General features: G+C 48.4%; 2 protein-coding genes across 4 annotated transcripts in view, besides 2 other annotated features; both read left to right on the top strand.

Annotated features, from left to right (window-relative positions):
- Positions 1 to 8,015, top strand: part of DNAJC8 (DnaJ heat shock protein family (Hsp40) member C8) — a 32,752-nt gene extending 24,737 nt beyond the window's left edge. For both annotated transcript variants that reach the window (NR_159454.1, NM_014280.3), the window contains 3 exons: positions 2,944 to 3,035; positions 4,471 to 4,546; positions 6,923 to 8,015. Coding sequence is in view for 1 of the 2 variants with exons in the window: in NM_014280.3 (NP_055095.2) it covers positions 2,944 to 3,035; positions 4,471 to 4,546; positions 6,923 to 7,045 (291 nt within the window). In the remaining variant the exon portion in view is untranslated. The remainder of the gene's footprint in view (positions 1 to 2,943; positions 3,036 to 4,470; positions 4,547 to 6,922) is intronic.
- Positions 8,299 to 8,628: a silencer, noted in NCBI's record as "silent region_535". NCBI's record gives its function as "represses an Ori minimal core promoter by ATAC-STARR-seq in GM12878 lymphoblastoid cells {active_cell/tissue: GM12878}" and the evidence as "EXISTENCE:reporter gene assay evidence [ECO:0000049][PMID:35858748]".
- Positions 10,952 to 11,001: an enhancer, noted in NCBI's record as "active region_590". NCBI's record gives its function as "activates an Ori minimal core promoter by ATAC-STARR-seq in GM12878 lymphoblastoid cells {active_cell/tissue: GM12878}" and the evidence as "EXISTENCE:reporter gene assay evidence [ECO:0000049][PMID:35858748]".
- PTAFR (platelet activating factor receptor) overlaps positions 14,437 to 17,495 on the top strand; it is a 46,691-nt gene continuing 43,632 nt past the window's right edge. For both annotated transcript variants that reach the window (NM_001164722.3, NM_001164721.2), the window contains exon 1: positions 14,437 to 14,571. The gene's annotated coding sequence lies outside the window, so the exon portion shown is untranslated. The remainder of the gene's footprint in view (positions 14,572 to 17,495) is intronic.

The following is a 17,495-nucleotide window of genomic DNA, read 5'->3' as shown; positions in this document are numbered from 1 at the left end:
GAATTGGTGGGTTACAGAGACAGAAGCCAAAAGAATGATGAATATATGCTATTTCACATTTATTTATTTATTTATTTATTATTTTTGAGACTGAGTTTCACTCTTGTTGCCCAGGCTGGAGGGCAATGGCGCGATCTCGGCTCACTGCAACCTCTGCCTCCTGGGTTCAAACGATTCTTCTGCCTCAGCCTCCCAAGTAGCTGGGATTACCAGCATGTACCACCATGCCCGGTTAATTTTGTATTTTTAGTAGAGATGGGGTTTCTCCATGTTTGTCAGTCTGGTCTCGAACTCCTGACCTCAGATGATCCGCCTGCCTTGGCCTCCCAAAGTCCTGGGATTGCAGGCTACAGGCATGAGCCACCCTGCCCGGCCTCTGGCTAATTTTTTTGTATTTTTAGTAGAGACGGGGTTTCATCATGTTGGCTAGGCTGGTCTTGAACTTCTGACCTCAGGTGATCCACCCGCCTCGGCCTCCCAAAGTGTTGGGATTACAGGCATGAGCCACCGTGCGCGGCCTAATTTTTATTTTTTAAAAAAACATTTTATTTGGCTGGGCGCAGTGGCTCACGCCTGTAATCCCAGAAATTTGGGAGGCCGTGGCGGGTGGATCATGAGATCAGGAGTTCGAGACCATCCGGGCCAACATGGTGAAACCCCGTCTCTACTAAAAATACAGAAATTATCTGGGCGTGGTGGCACGTGCCTGTAATCCCAACTACCCGAGAGGCTGAGGCAGGAGAATTGCTTGAACCTGGGAGGCAGAGATTGCAGTGAGCCAAGATCGCGCCACTGCACCTCCGCCTGGTGACATAGCAAGACTCTGTCTTAAAACAACAACAACAACAACAACAACAACAAACATTTTATTTGAACTTAAAACATATAAATATACATTTATTTATGTATTTGTTTGAGACGGGGTCTTACTCTGTTGCCCAGGCTAGAGAGCAGTGGTGCGATCTCAGCTCACTGCAACCTCTGCCTCCCAGGTTCAAGTGATTCTCCTGCCTTAGCCTCCTGAGTAGCTGGGATTACAGATGCCCGCCATCAAGCCTGGCTAATTTTTGTATTTTTAATAGAGACGGGATGTCATCATGTTGGTCAGGCTGATCTCAAACTCCTGACCTCAAGTGATCTGCCCTCCTCGGCCTCCCAAAGTGCTGGGATTACAGGCGTGGACCACCGCACCTGGCCCAATTTTTTTCAGTTGTTTTTTTTTTTCCTGATTATAAAAGAACACATGCTAATGATAGAAAATTTGGAAAAAGAGAAATATAAAAAATATAAAATCGCAGTGTCTGTCTATCCCGTGTATGGAGCTTTTAAATATACTGAGCTATTCATTACAGACTCCTTTATCCCTTTGATGTTTGTCTTTATTAGGGACTGGGGTTGAAGCATTGCTTTTAGTGAGCAGTGTCTAGCAGGTAACAGGATAAAAGAGAAGTCACAGAGATTTAGGGACTTCTTTATTTTCCTTTCTCTCCATATATCACTCTTTGCTCCAGTGTCTGATTTTAGAATTTAGGCACTATTAAATATGCATGACAGATTACTTTTGTACTTCCATGTCTATTTAAAATACTTTATATCTGGAGAAAAATATTTAAAGGTAGAATAACATAAGCTGTGTTCTTAAGAACTCTTGAAAATAAAGAATTAAAAACTGGTAGGGAGGGCATTGTGATTTCATTAACTTAGTGTGACAGGGGCTGGGTCACTTACGTTCACTTATTTTTTTGTAATTCTTTTTAGAGATAGGGTCTCCCTTTGTCACCCCGGCTGGAATATAGTGGCATGATCTTAACTCACTGCAGCCTTGACCTCCTAGGCTCAAGTGATCCTCCCACCTTAGTGGATATTATACATTCTAATAATAACCTCTGGTGGCTCATACCTATAATCCAAGTGCTTTGGGGGCTGAAGTAGGAGGATCTTTTCAGCTTAGGAGTTGAGGCTGCAGTGAGCTATGATCACACCACTGCACTCTAGCCTGGGTGACAGATTGAGACCCTGTTTCAAAAACAATAATAATAAATAATAATAGCTTCTGTTCCTATCATTGTAAGACTATCATATAATATACTTTTTTAAAAAAGAGATAGAGTCTTGCTCTGTTGTCCAGGCTGGAGTGCAGTGGCATAGTCATGGCTCACTGCAGCCTTGACCTCCTGAGCTCAAGCGATCCTCCCACCTCAGCCTTCTGAGTAGCTGGGACTACAAGTGTGCGCCACCACACCTGGTTAATGTTTTATTTTTAATATTTTTTGTAGAGATGGGATCTCACTATGTTGCTCAGGGTGGTCTCAAACTCCAGGGCTTAAGTGATCCTGCTGTCTTAGCCTCTTGAAACGCTGGATCTACAGGTGTGCACCACCATGCCCCGCTAATTTTTGTTTTTGAGACGGAGTTTCCCTCTTGTTGCCCAGGCTGGGGTGCAATGGCATGATCTCAGCTCCCTGCAACCTCTGTCTCCTGGGTTCAAGTGATTCTCCTGCCTCAGCCTCCCGAGTAGCTGGGATTACAGTCACGCACCAACATGCTTGGCTAATTTTTGTATTTTTGATAGAGACAGAGTTTCACCATGTTGGCCAGGCTGGTCTTGAACTCCTGGCCTCAGGTGATCTGCCCACCTTGGCCTTCCAAAGTGCTGGGATTACAGGTGTGAGCTACTGCGCCTGGCCTGCACGCTAGTTTTAAAAAAAATTTTTTTGTAGCAATAGAGTTTCACTATGTTGCCAGGGCAGTCAAGCTCTTAGCCTCAAACGATTCTCCTGCCTTTGGCCTTCCAAAGTGTTGGAATTACAGATGTGAGCCACGGTGCACAGCCTGTGCCAGGTTTTAATCTGCTTTATCTTGGACTCCAGGTGAAAGTACATGGTTCAAGTTGCTGGTAAAAATATTTACTCTGATTTTCTTTTGTTCTTGATTTTCCTGTAGTTCAAACAAGCTGTATATAAACAGACAATGAAACTCTTTGCAGAGCTGGAAATTAAAAGGAAAGAGAGAGAAGCCAAAGAGATGCATGAAAGGTACATATCAGTATATTCATTTAAACCATATTTAAATACCTAGATTAACTAACATTGGTCTTTGGTGATTTTCCTAATGAGGGAATTATATAGTATACCATTTAAGAGACTATAAAAATAGTTACCTAAAAACAGTCAAGCTTTTGAATCACCAGGGTAAGTAGTTTTTTTCTTTGACTTTTGAGAATTATTGAATAGGTCTGTCCTTAGGGAGTGTATTTTTTATTTATTTTTTTGAGACACAGTCTTGCTCTGTAGCCAGGCTGGAATGCAGTGGTGCGATCTTGGCTCACTGCAACCTCCACCTCCCAGGTTCTAGCAGTTCCCCTGCCTCAGCCTCCTGAGTAGCTGGGACTACAGGTGTACACCACCATGCCCGGCTAATTTTTTGTATTTTAGTAGAGACAGGGTTTCACCATGTTGGCCAGGATGGTCTCGATCTCCTGACCTCGTGATCTGCCTGCCTTGCCCTCCCAAAGTGTTAGGATTACAGGCATGAGCCACTGCATGCTGCCAGGGAGTTTATTTATAATCAAGAGCCTTGTGTGTGTTCTTCCTGATGTCCTGGAGTGAAATAAGCAGTTATTAAGGCCATTGTTACTGAAGCCAGAACCTTTTGTGGGGCTAGTGGCTACAGCTTTGGTGAGTGTATAGTACTGTAGTGTCATCAGTAACAAAATGTTTAATGTTCTAAAATATGATTTCTCTTGAACATCAGAAATGTTAGAATTTCGCTTTTGTTGCCCAGGCTGGAGTGCAATGGCATGATCTTGGCTCACTGCAACCTCCACCTCCCCAGGTTCAGGTGATTCTCCTGCCTGGCTAATTTTTGCATTTTTAGTAGAGACGGGGTTTCACCATGTTGGTCAGGCTGGTCTCGAACTCCTGACCTCACATGATCCACCTGCCCCAGCCTCCCAAAGTGCTGGCGTTACAGGCATGAGCCGCTACATCCGGCCGAGTTTTGTTTCTGTATGTATTTTATATTGTTGCTTGGTAGGTACCAGTAACTAAAATTTGCTAGTTGAGGTTGTGTGAAATATCTTTGTTTTCGGATAGGGTTTTGTCCAGAGATCTTAAGAACTTTGGCTTTATAATGGTCATTCTGCTGAAATAAGGTGGCCTGTGTTCTCGACATAGCTTTGTCACTGAAAGAGCCCAAAACCTCAGATTGCTCTTGGCTGGGCTTTAGTTACTTTATCTGTGTAACAAGGATATTTATGTCTTTCCCCACAGCCATGCCCAAGTCTGATCTGCGTGTTTTAGAATGAGACATTCATGAAAATGCTATGAGCCCTTTCCAGACAGCCATCTTTGTAGACTTCTAGGGAATTGATTTACTATATATGCTTGCTTCTGTGGGGAGATGCCACCTTGTATGGTTAATTCAGTCTGTAAGTATCATATAAATACTATGATCTGGTTTTCCTCCTAGGAAACGACAAAGGGAAGAAGAGATTGAAGCTCAAGAAAAAGCCAAACGGGAAAGAGAGTGGCAGAAAAACTTTGAGGTAAATTTCCAAGGTGGCCAGGGATTCTAATTCCAGAATAAGGCAGCTTGGTTCCTGTGGCGCTCCCAGGACTGAGTGGGGCAGTCAGAGGGGAGTGGGATATGTGGGGAAGAGTGGGAGAGGTGAAGAATGAGGCTGGGCCTGCCTCAGCCTCCTGTAAGCTCTGTAGCCTTGGCAAGGACGATGAGGATCCCTGAATGGCTTTTTTAAAATTTATTTTTAAAAATTATTGTTTAATTTCTTTTTACAGCACACTAACAGTTTCACCCTGAATGGTTTTTTAGATTGTAGTAGGCACAGCTGCCCAGTGGGCTCAAGAAAAATGGATTGCACTTTTAATTTAGGGGGTAAGCATAGAGTATTGTGCTGCTTAGAGATCTGTTAGTAGATGCTGAAGTTCTTGTGCCCACAGTGTCCTACCTGCAGAGAGAGTTAGAACCTTTGAACTTGACTCTTCTTTGACACCCTGGTTATATGCTTCAGGTGGTTGGACAGAAGGATTGTGGCAACATTCGGTCTTTTCTTCTATAGGGTTTAGGACTCATGGTTAGGGGCTGGCTAATCAGAGTTGATGACTTTGTTTCTGTTGCACTTCATGTATGGAAAGAGAAAAAATGATAATGAGGTAGAGGTCCTAGTGGCCACCCCTACACAACTCGCTAGGCATTGTACTGGCTTTGGAGCAGCCATCCAAGTTTTGGGGGGCAGCAGAAAGGTGCAGTGGAAAGAGTAGCTGTACTGCTAGCTAGCTGTATGGCTTTTAGAAAATCATTTAACCTTTTTGAGCCTCAGTGTTATTTGTGAAGCACTGGTAGCAGTACACACCATAGTCGGCTTTTGGTGACAATTAGAAATACCATATGCTGGCCGGGCGTGGTGGCTCAAGCCTGTAATCCCAGCACTTTGGGAGGCCAAGGCGGGCAGATCATGAGGTCAGGAGATTGAGACCATCCTGGCTAACATGGTGAAACCCTGTCTCTACTAAAAAAATACAAAAAATTAGCCAGGTGTGGTGGCTGGCACCTGTAGTCTCAGCTACTCAGGAGGCTGAGGCAGGAGAACGGTGTGAACCCAGGAGGTGGAGCTTGCAGTGAGCCAAGATTGTGCCACTGCACTCCAGCCTGGGTGACAGAGCCGTCTCAAAAAAAAAAAAAAAAAGAAAAAAAAAGGCCGGGTGAGGTGGCTCATGCCTGTAATCCCAGCACTTTGGGAGGCCACGGCAGGCGGATCATGAGGTCAGGAGATCGAAACCATCCTGGCTAACACGGTGAAACCCCGTCTCTACTAAAAATACAAAAAATTAGCCGGGCGTGGTGGCGGGCCCCTTTAGTCCCAGCTATTCAGGAGGCTGAGGCAGGAGAATGATGTGAACCCGGGAGGCAGAGGTTGTAGTGAGCCGAGATCGCACCACTGCACTCCAGCCTGGGCAACAGAGCGAGACTGCATCTCACAAAAGACAACAACAATGACAACAAAAAAAACCATGTTAAACGTCTAGCCTCGAGGTCCCCAACAAATGGGGCCTCAGTGTTGTGATGATTATTACTGATTTCGTCCTCCTCTTGCAACCTGCAGCTCATCCTGCGTTCTAGGGGTGCTATGACACTTTCTTGGGCCCTTGGGAGTGGGAAGAAAGCTCTATTCTACTTTTTTTTTGAGACGGAGTTTTGCCCTTGTTGCTCAGGCTGGAGTGCGATGGCGTGATCTTGGCTCACTGCGACCTCCGCCTCCCAGGTTCAAGTGATTCTCCTGCCTCAGCCTCCCGAGTAGCTGGGATTAACAGGCATGCGCCACCATGCCCGGCTAACTTTTTATATTTTTAGTAGAGATGGGGTTTCTCCATATTGGTCAGGCTGGTCTCGAACTCCCAACCTCAGGTGATCCACCTGATGTGTGAGCCACCATGCCTGGCCTATTCTACTCTTTTTTCTTTTTTTCTTTTCTTTTTTTTTTTTTTGATACAAAGTCTCGCTCTTGTTGTTCAGGCTGGAGTGCAGTGGCATGGTCTGGGCTCACTGCAACCTCTGCCTGCCAGGCTCAAGCGATTCTCCTGCCTCAGCCTCCCGAGTAGCTGGGATTACAGGCACCTGCCACCACGCCCGGCTAATTTTTGTATTTTTATTAGACACAGGGTTTCACCATGTTGGCCAGGCTGGTCTTGAACTCCTGACCTCAGGTGATCTGCCCGCCTCGGCCTCCCGAAGTGCTGGGATTATAGGTATGAGCCACTGTGCCTGGCCAGCTCTATTCTACTCTTGGGTTATTCCAGAGGACTGAAGTGGGCTGGGCTACAGGAGGGTGAGTGGATGGCAGACCAGGTTTAGGCCTTTCCACTCATTGACTGGTCTCCTCACCTCAAACTTCTTTTGTACTTAGGAAAGTCGAGATGGTCGTGTGGACAGCTGGCGAAACTTCCAAGCCAATACGAAGGGGAAGAAAGAGAAGAAAAATCGGACCTTCCTGAGACCACCGAAAGTAAAAATGGAGCAACGTGAGTGACCGCCCAAGGTCACAGGCACAGAACCTTTCCCCTGCTATCTCCCTTCCTGCTTCGAAGGACTCATTCTTTCCTCCCACTTCCACCCCAACATAGAGTAGTATTTGCTTTTTAGTCCATTTTGTTTTCAATACGATTTAATATCGATCAGAGTAATTCTTTTGTACATTGAAATGAGGGGCTTGGTTTAAAAAAAGACCTTTCCCTCTCCCTGCCCCTAGAACAACCAGTATTAGAAGGTGCCACCATTGGTGCTGCCTTCTCTTCCCACAGCCTGTAACTCAGTGTTTTGTACTTCACTGAATTGTGATGGTTAGAAACTTCGTGGATAGTTTGTGGAAATCATCCAATTAAACATACTGCTTAAAACAGTGTTGCTGTGACTTCAGAGACAAGCCTGGAAGGGGCACCTTAGGAAGCCCCTTCGCTTCAGTTGCTCGCTTCTGGGTGTGCTCCCTTCGAAGGCCCAGATAAGACAGGGAACACTTGTGAGCACACAGAGCAGCATCTGATGCCCTGTGGTGTTTGGCATGTGCCCCCTGTCTACTGACCAATCAGTGTGGCATGAGGCCCACGCCACCCAAACCTTTCACTTTCCAAAGAGCTAGCCGTCCTCCACCCAGTACCATGTCCTAGCCTGTCTGCATTTGTTAGTGGTAATATTCTTTATGTATAATAAATTTTTATACCCAAGCCATTGATGTACTTTTCCTTGTACTCTCCCTTGTGGGTCCCTTGTCTGGCTTGGCTGAACCCCAAAATGCTTTGGGGTTGGACAGACCTGGCTGAACCTTAGTTTCTTCATCTATGAAATGGGAATATGAATTACTGCAGCAGCTTTTAGGGCAGATTTGCCATGGCATATACAAGGTAACTACCATAGTGCTCCTTGGGTATTGCCAATATCCTATTATTTCTGTGTAAAATGAAGATACTGATTGTTTTGAGGATTAAATGAAGTAATATATGAAAGCGTCCAGCTCACAGTCTATGCTTAAATGTCCTGCTTGCTTTCAGGGACAGAATCAGCCCTCAGGAGGGGCCCAAAGTGAGAAGGGGAAAGGTGACACTTGAAATGTGAAGATACAGGAAACTAGGTGACTCAAAACTAGAGTTTTGCTTTTTGCAATGTCTTGTAGATGAGTAAACAGGCACAATGACTACGAAAGGCACCATGTCTTTTAGTATCATGAGAAGTGCAACTTTCATTTCTCTGTGGGAGAGGACAGAGGCTTGGGTGTCTTACTGTCCTTCCAAGTACCACTGAGCACATCCAAACCACATGTGAAGTAGAGCACAGTGATGAGTGGGTGGGTGGGTGGGTGTGCTTCTGGCTAAAACTGGACCAAGGCAGGGGGAGAAAATGTTTAGTTGCCCTGCAAAAGTGATACATGCCGTGAGGTAATGCAGTCCTGACTAGGGGGGCAGTGATTATCTTTTCTAGCCAAGCAAAGCCAAGCAACCCCATTTCAGTCCAGGATGTGGGTGCACACACCGCTTCCTTAGAGGTTAAGTGGTGGTGGTTCAGTTCAGCTATCTGCAAACTTACCTTTGCCCTCAAGGAGGCTGTGCCAGCAATTAGCTATGGGTGTTAGTTCTCACACTGCTATGAAGAACTACCTGAGACTGGGTAATTTATAAAGAAAAGAGGTTTAATTGACTCATGGTTTCACAGGCTTTACAGGAAGCATGGCTGGGGAGGCCTCAGGAAACTTAACAGTTGTGGCAGAAGGTGAAGAGGAAGGAGGCACGTCTTACATGGCCGGAGCAGGAGGAAGAGAGCGCAGGGAGAGGTGCTGTACGCTTTTAAACAACCAGATCTCACTATCTGGATAGTGATAGATAAGAACTCACTATCACAAGAACAGCAAAGGGGGCGGCCCCTATGATCCAAACATATGGATCATATGACCTCTTACCAGGTCCCTCCTCCAACGTGGGGGATTACAATTGGGCATGAGATTTGGGTGGGGACACAAATCCAAATCATATCAGGTGTGTTTATTCATTGAACAAATATGCTGGTTTAGAAATACAGTGGTGAACACTGCAGGACCCCTGTTGCCTGCCTCACAGCTGGGGCACACGGGCAAGAAGACTGTCCACTGCTCCGAGAAGGGGGCCCTTGATCTCATTTTTAGCAGCCAGGGAATGTTTCCTGAAGAAAGTGGCCCTTTTAAAAACTGGAACCCAGGGGCTGATGCATCAGTTAGGAGTGTTTTGGCTGCAAGGAATAACTGGCAAAAAGAATTAGAGGAATATTTTACTTCCATAAGTGGAGACAGGTGGTTTCAGGTATTGTTCATGGTGGAATCATTCATTCAGTAATACCTCCAGGGAAACAGGCTCTTACTATGCTTCTCCGTCCTCTGTGGAGGGTTTGGCATCTCATAGTTGCAAGAAGTTTCTAGCACCACATCTTATAACAACTACCAAACAGAAATAAGTCATCCAGGGAGCAAAATTTTTCCCAGAAGATGTCACTGGTTAGAAAATGGGTCACAGGGACCCCTCTTGGTAAGTTTGGCTGGGAGAGCTGCGAAGAACAGACAGGCAATATACCAAGCCTTACTCCTTGGGATTGGGCACCTGTTTCCAATAAAATTAAGTTGGTAAAGATGAAAGAATGCCTGCTGGAAAGGCCGGGTGGGGTGGCTCACGCCTGTAATCCCAGCACTTTGGGAGGTCAAGGCAGGCGGATCACAAGGTCAGGAGATCGAGGCCATCCTGGCTAACACGGTGACACCCTGTCTCTACTAAAAATACAAAAAATTAGCCGGACGTGGTAGCAGGCGCCTGTAGTCCCAGCTACTCGGGAGGCTGAGGCAGGAGAATGGCGTGAACTCGGGATGTGGATCTTGCAGTGAGCCGAGATCGCGCCACTGCACTCCATCCTGGGCGACAATGAAACTCCGTCTCAAAAAAAAAAAAAAAGAATGCCTGCTAGAAACAACAGTGTCTGGCACAGAAGGGGTGGGACTTGAGGGAAAGGTGTTTCAGTCAGAGAGAGTGGCATGTGCAAAGGCCCAGAAGGTAAGAGAATAGCCCATTCATGGGACTGAACAACATTTGTTATGCTTAGAGCACAGACGTGAGGTGAGATGAGATCAGGGAGATCGTAATGGCATATTGAGGAATTTGGGTTTCAGTCAGGACATCGTATTTTCCTAGATGGACCAAAGTCTTCCCACTTACTTTCTGGCACATTTTAGTGACAGACCCACTGGGAAGATCAGCAGTGGTCCCAGCCCATTCTCATAACCCTGCTTGGAGCAATCTCTGTGATGACGTGGCTGGGGAGAGGAGTGTATGCTGGGCATTGACTTGAGGCAGTACAGTCAAGACCGGCCTCCAGGGTGGGGCTGTGGCTATGGCAGTGCCATCCTCTCCCACCCCTTCATCCATGAATAGGTTAAGGGGAGCTCTCTGGGTAGGGAAGGCTTGCTGGAGGAGTGCCAGGGCCCAGAAGAAAATGAAAGGCTGGATGAGCCACTTTTCTTGTTTTCTGTAAATAGTGGAGCAGATAGGCTCCCCAGCTGTGGAGCCAACTGCTGGCAAGAGGACCTTTGTGGGCAGAGGTGAGGTGGAAGGAGCCAGCCAGGTATGGGTAGAAACCCGGCATATGGGCCAGTAACATCAACTCTGAGCCTCAGCATCCTGGTATGTAAAGTGGGAACTGCACCTTTAAAATGAAGTGTAGGCTGGGCGTGGTGGTTCATGCCTGTAATCCGAGCACTTTGAGAGGCCGATGCAGGCAGATCACTAGAGGTCAGGAGTTTGAGACCACCCCGGCCAACATAGTGAAACCCCGTCTCTACTAAAAATAAAAAATTAGCTGGGCACGGTGGTGCAGGCATGGTGGTACGTGCCTGTGTCCCAGCTACTTGGGAAGCTGAGGCAGGAGAATCACGAACCCCGGAGGTGGAGGTTGCAGGCAGTGAGCCAAGATCTTGTGCCACTGCACTCCAGCCTGGGTGACAGAGCGAGACTCCGTCTCAAAAAAAAAAAAAAAAAAATTGTAACCACTGAAAGAAAGCATCAGCTGTTGTTGCCTTCGGCATTCCAGTCACCTGAACGCCCGCAACCCTATGGCTGTGGCTTCTCAGCTGCTTCCTGGAGCAGCCACAGCCAGCTTCACTTTCTGGCCCCTCCCGCTTCCCTGGGGCCCCAGTGGAAGTAGGAAGAAATGTGTGGGAGGTTGTGGATGGGTCTGGGCCTGCTGTAAGGGTGGAACTCAAGGAAACAGGATTTGCCCCTCTAGATTTCCTTCTCCCTCTCCCCAACCTCAACCTAGCACATCTGGATCATCTGCCTCTTGCTGGAGGTTATCAGTGCTTCTCACCATTAGAACTGGGGGCTCGGAGCTCGACAAGGGCCCTGTGGAATGAGTGCAAAAGGGCGTGAAGTCACCCACCTCCTTGAGTTTTCTGCTCTACCACTCATTAGCATTGTGTCTCTGGCAAATCATTTCCCCTCTCTGGACTTTAGCTGCCTCCTCTGGTAAAATGAGGGTAAAAACACCGTCTCCATTCCTGTTTTGCAAATTAGTGAGATTCTGTTCATTATAAAACAAATGGAGGCAAACCTTCCAAATGGAGACAATATGCCTGCATTTGGCATCAGACAGACTGGAGTTTGAATCCTGACTCTACTGTGTGTGGTATCCTGAGGACTGAGGAGGTCAGGGAAGCCAGGTGCCCAGCACAGTGGGGTGCACAGTGGCCGTTCCTCTCTGCCCCACTCCTGCTGGTTGTTCCCTGCTTAAATAAAGGGATGAAAGAGCTGAGGATTGAGGACACCTGGGAAGCTTGTTAAAAAGACATTTCTTTTTTTTTTTTTTTTTTTTTGAGACAGGGTCTTTGTTGCCCAGGCTGCAGTGTGGTGGCACGATGATCATGGCTCACTGCTGCCTCAACCTCCCGGGCTCAAACTATCCTGCCTCACTATGTTGCTCAGGCTGGTCTCGAACTCCGGAGCTCAAGTAGTCCTCCCACCTCAACCTCCTACAGTGCTAGGATTATAGGCATAAGCCACCGCACCTGGCCTACAAGGACATTTTCTGATCTCCCTGAAGATTCTGATTCAGGGTGGGGTATGTGTGTGTGTGGTGGGGAGACAGACAGCTGGATCTTTAACAAGCTCCCAACTTAACCCAGCCAGGGATGGAGCCATCAGGCAGGGACAGCCAGTCCTCCAAGAGGTGGGGGGTGGGTAGAGCTTAGGGTTCTGTCAGTGATGCCATTATCCTAACCACATACCTGTGGCTTAGTGGGGCTGCCATTCCTCTGGTGGGAGATAGGCAAGCATAGCTAGAAACAGCCTCTGAAGGATTGAACCCTCCTCTCCTTGGCTTCCTCTGGAGTCCTTCCAAGCCTGTATTGCTCCATGGGCTGCTACCTTGGAATCGCCTGGGTGCTTGTTAAAATTTTACTCTTCCTGGCCCCATCACCAGCACTGCTATATCAGAATCTTTTTTTTTTTTTTTTTTTGAAATGGGGTCTTGCTCTGTCACCCAGGCTGGAGTGCAGTTGCAATCATGGCTCACTGCAGCCTCAATCTCCTGGGCTTGAACGATCCTCCTACCTCAGTCTCCCAAATAGCTGGGACTGCAGGTGCAAACCACCATACTTAGCTAATTTTTTTTTTCTTGGTAGAGATGGGGTCTGGATTTGTTGCCCAGGCTGGTCTCGAACTCCTGGTCTCAAGTGATCCTCTACGGCAGCCTCCCACAGTGATGAGATTACAGACATACACCACTACGCCTGGCCTAAGCCTTTATTTAATTAATTTATTTTATTTTTTATTTTTTTGAGATGGAGTCTCACTCTTGTCAACCAGGCTGGGGTGCAATGGTGCAATCTCAGCTCACTGCAACCTCGACCTCCTGGGTTCAAGCGATTCTCCTGCCTCAGCCTCCCGAGTAGCTGGGATTACAGGCGCCCACCACCATGCCTGGCTAATTTTTGTATTTTTAGTACAGACGGGGTTTCACCATGTTGACCAGGCTGGTCTTGAACTCCTGACCTTGGGTGATCCACTCACCTCAGCCTCCCAAAGTGCTAGGATTACAGGCGTGAGCCACCCCGCCCGGCTAAACTTTTATTTTTAACAAGTTCTCCAACTGAGTCTGATGTGGGGAAAGGAGTTGACCCCTAAGCCTGGGACACTCAACAGGAGCTTGGGTAAATAAAGTGATTTTCATTTACTGAATTCCTGGTACGTGCCAGTCATCATGCTAAGTGTGAGGTAGGGAGTATGTGTGGCTCTTACAGACTCAGGAAATAGGCTCAGAAAACATTCACTGCAGGGCTCAAGCTGAGGACCAGAGGCGGCGGTTAAGCCCTCATCTGGCAGATTCTTAGAGCTGGCATTTGAGAATGTTCACCTATGCCATGGCCCAGTTTGCTTTCCTCTGTGGCCTGACACCTCTGCTCCCTGCTAAGCCCAATATTTTGGTTGTGGTAGGGGGCGGTGGGGAGAGGTATTAATAGAAATAGAGTAACTTTCAGTGCAGAACGTGCAAAGCTGGAGCACTGGGTGCAGTCCTAGGCTTTTGCCAGAACTCTGAGGTGCAAGGGTTTGTCTTCTCCCTCAGCCTGATGGCTATGGGGACAGGGATGGCTTTGTCTCCCTCTCAGCCGGATATGGCTTCAGAAGGCAGAAACTTCTCTTTCCCAGAGGCTGGGCATTTCTGAAGGCAGGTCTGTCTCCCCTTCTGTTGAGGGCACCTGTGGGCAGGGCTTTGTCACACCCATTGTACTGGCCTCCTGTGGGCAAACTGGCTGTGTGTCCCCTCAGACAGGGTGCCTTCTGAAAGCAGCTTTGGGTCTTTTTCATCAACTTGGGGCTCACTGGATTTGGGGCTGTACCCATTGAATTGAAGCCCGGGCTCCCGAGGACAGGGCTGTGTCCCCATCTCCCCCAGGCTGGGGACTCCTGAGGACAGGGCTGTGTCCCCATCTCCCCCAGGCTTGGGGCTCCTGAGGACAGGGCTGTGTCCCCATCTCCCCCAGGCTGGGGGCTCCTGAGGACAGGGCTAAAACCTTCTCTAGGTCAGGGCTCATCTCCCCCTCAGTCAAAGGACCCAGTTCCTCTCTCCCCTGCCAGCCCAAGCCCAGCCCTTCCTCCCAGAGGGGCGCAGCATCAGAGGGGCCCAGCCCAGTATTGTGGGATGAGCTGGTGTGCCTGGCTGGATGTGGGTATTCCCGGTGACCTTGGTGTTGGGGCCCCGCCCCAGGAGCTGGCTTCCTGGCCTCAGCTGCCCTGCCCACCCAGCAGAGCCCGGGGGCAGGCCTTTCCTAATCCTTCATCCTGCTGCTGCTCATTGGAGGGTAGAGCAGAGTGAGTCACACACCTGTGCCTGGGCCCGTCCTCTGCCTCCTGTGCACTCATTACCTGCTTCCTGAGCTCCCCGAGAAGTCATCCAGGACCTCCCCGAGAAGCCGTCCAGGAAACATGCTCTCAGGGGACCCCCATCTGCCTCAGCCTCTTTGTCACTGCCTGGACCATTGTCCCTGCTGTTTCTCAGGTAAGAGGCTGGTGGCCTGAGGGAAGGGCTAAGTTTCGGCCGCTTTGTCTAGCTGCCCTGCAGAATCCCCAGGGCTGCTCAGATTCTGGAAGGGTCCACAGAGCTAGGTGATGTCTGATTTCCCTCCTGTTGGCACCCCCTCAAGGACACATGGCCCGTCTTTGTTGCCCACAGACACAGCACAATCCTCTCACCCCTCAGGGCCATTCACACACACTCACCAACAGACGCAGCATTCCTCACACACCACACAAAACACATCCTCGTCACCCACAGAATCCCTTCACAACACACAACAGACCCTCATCATCCACAGATACAACCCATGACCCTCCCTATACACATACACGAACGGGCACCAACGGACAATATTGCCTCACATGATGCAGATCCTAACCCAAGGGAAAACATCCTTACAGACACACAACATGCACAACTGCACTGACAGATCCACACCCCAACCCGGAAGACCCTCCACCCACTCACTGCAAACAAACCTACTCCGCAAGGTCTCACAAATATCTTCCCTACACACACACACACACAGACACACAGCAATGCAACCATCTGTACATATCACAGAACTCCCCTTCCCCTAGATGCACCCGCCCTACTGTTCAGTCAGTAGGTCAGTAATCCCATCCCCACTTCTTACCCTCCCGAGCTCATGCACTGGCAGCCAGGCCACACAGTGGAGCAAGAAGGGCAGAGCTGAGCCGGGGGTCCCAGCCGCACTAAAGAGCATGACAGGAGAAGCTAGCACTCCCAGCTGTCTCAGTGCTGCTTCCTATGGCCCTAGGACTTAGAGCACACTGATAATAAAAACACAGGTGGATCACCTGAGGTCGGGAGTTCGAGACCAGCCCGGCCAACATGGTGAAACCATGTTTCTACTAAAAACACAAAAATTAGCCCGGCATGGTGGCGGGTGCCTGTAATCCCAGCTACTTGGGAGGTTGAGGCAGGAGAATCACTTGAACCCGAGAAGCGGAGGTTACGGTGAGCTGAGATCCCACCACTGCACTCCAGCCTGGGCACAGAGCGAGACTCTGTCTTAAAAACAAACAAACAAACAAAAAAAAAACCCAGCATTTACCACATGCCTCCTGGGAGCCAAACACCAAGGCTTTTACAAACATTATCTTTTTTTTTTTTTTTTTTTTGAGACGGAGTTTTGCTCTCATTGCCCAGGCTGGAGTGCAATGGCGTGATCTTGGCTCACTGCGACCTCCACCTCCCAGGTTCAAGTGATTCTCCTGCCTCAGACTTCCAAGTAGCTGGGATTACAGGCATGTGCCATCATGCCCGGCTAATTTTCTATTTTTGTAGAGACGGGGTTTCTCCATGTTGGTCAGGCTGGTCTCGAACTCCTGACCTCAGGTGATCCACCCGCCTCGGTCTCCCAAAGTGCTGGGATTACAGGCATAAGCCACTGCGCCCGGCCACAAGTATTATCTTATGCAGTTGTGTAAAACCTTTATGAAGTAGGTATTATTATCTTCATTTTACAACTATGGAAATAGGCTCAGAGAGGTTAAGAAACTTGCCTAATGTACCACAACTAAGAGGCTGTAATGGAATTTAAACTTAGGTGAGTCTGGTCCCAGAGTCCACCTTTTTTTTTTTAAATGTTTTACTATTTATTTATTGAGACACAATCTCACTCTGTCATCCAGGTTGGAGGGCAGTGGCGGCACGATCTCAGCTCATAGCAGCCTGGAGACCCCAGGCTCAAACGATCCTCCCGCCTCAGTCCCTTCATGAGTAACTGGGACCACAGGCATGCACCACCATGACCAGCTAATTTTTATATTTTTTTGTAGAGACAGGGTTTCATCATGTTGCCTAGGCTGGTTTTGAACTCCTGAACTCAAGCGATCCTCTCGCCTTGGCTTCTCAGAGTGCTGGGATTGCAGCAGGCATGAGCTACCACACCTGGCCTCTTTTTTTTTTAATTAAAAAAAAAAAAGAGAGAGAGTTAACAAATTAGCAAGTTAAAAGTTCAATAGATATAAAAGAGTACATAGAGAAAAGACGCTCTCCTATCCTTGTTCTCCAACCACCCTATCTCCCTCTTGGAGGAAGCCTGAGTTACTCTAGGAGACCTCTCTCTCTCTCTCTCTCTCTCTCTCTCTTTTCTTTTTTCTTTTTGTAGAGATGAGGTTTCGCTATGTTGCTCAGGCTGGTCTCAAACTCCTGAGCTCAAGTGGTCCACCCACCCTGGCCTCCCAAAACGCTTGGACTACAGGCATATACCACTGCGCCCGGCTGGAGACGTTTCTTTTAACCACTGAGTTAGACTCATGACAGTTACATTTCATACCAATGTCATAGCTTTCTAGGTCTATGAAGAGTGCCCAGGCTCTGTGGGCTTTCCCAGGCCCTCCCCTGCCCAGGCAAAGCCAGCGGCCTCATCTAGGGCTTCTTCCAACTTAAGTCCTCTGCTGCCCTAAACCTCTAGGGACCTCCCTGCCTTTGAATTTCCTGGTCTGGATTGTTCTCCCTGTCAGGCCTCCCCCGCGAGGCCTGGCCACATCTCTGAGTCTTCCTCTCAGGATACAGTGCATGCCACGGTGACCTTTCTTACAAGATAGGGAGCGGAGCAGGTCTTGCTTTGCTCCCGAGCTGAAGAGGGAGGGCCAGCAGGACTCAGCCCTGAGCAAGGGAGGGAAAGGGTGAGGGAGAGGAAGAGGAAGAGGAGAAAAGAGAGGAGAATGATAGCGGCCAGGCGTCCTTTACCGGCCTAATCCCATTGTGAGGATGGCAGTGCTTCACAGATGAAGACTCTGAGGCTCAGGGAGGCCCAGGGACTTGTCCAAGGTGACACCGTTGTGAAGTGGCAGAGGTGAGATTGAAACTCCCTAAGTTTGAGGAAGGCTGTGAGAGAGAGGGAGAGAGAGCCCAAGAGAGAAGCTGAGGTTGTG

The sequence above is a fragment of the Homo sapiens genome, chromosome 1 (assembly GCF_000001405.40).
Source record: "Homo sapiens chromosome 1, GRCh38.p14 Primary Assembly".
Taxonomy (NCBI): domain Eukaryota; kingdom Metazoa; phylum Chordata; class Mammalia; order Primates; family Hominidae; genus Homo; species Homo sapiens.
The sequence above is the reverse complement of the archived record's forward strand: the minus strand, read 5'-3'. Positions and strand labels throughout refer to the sequence as shown.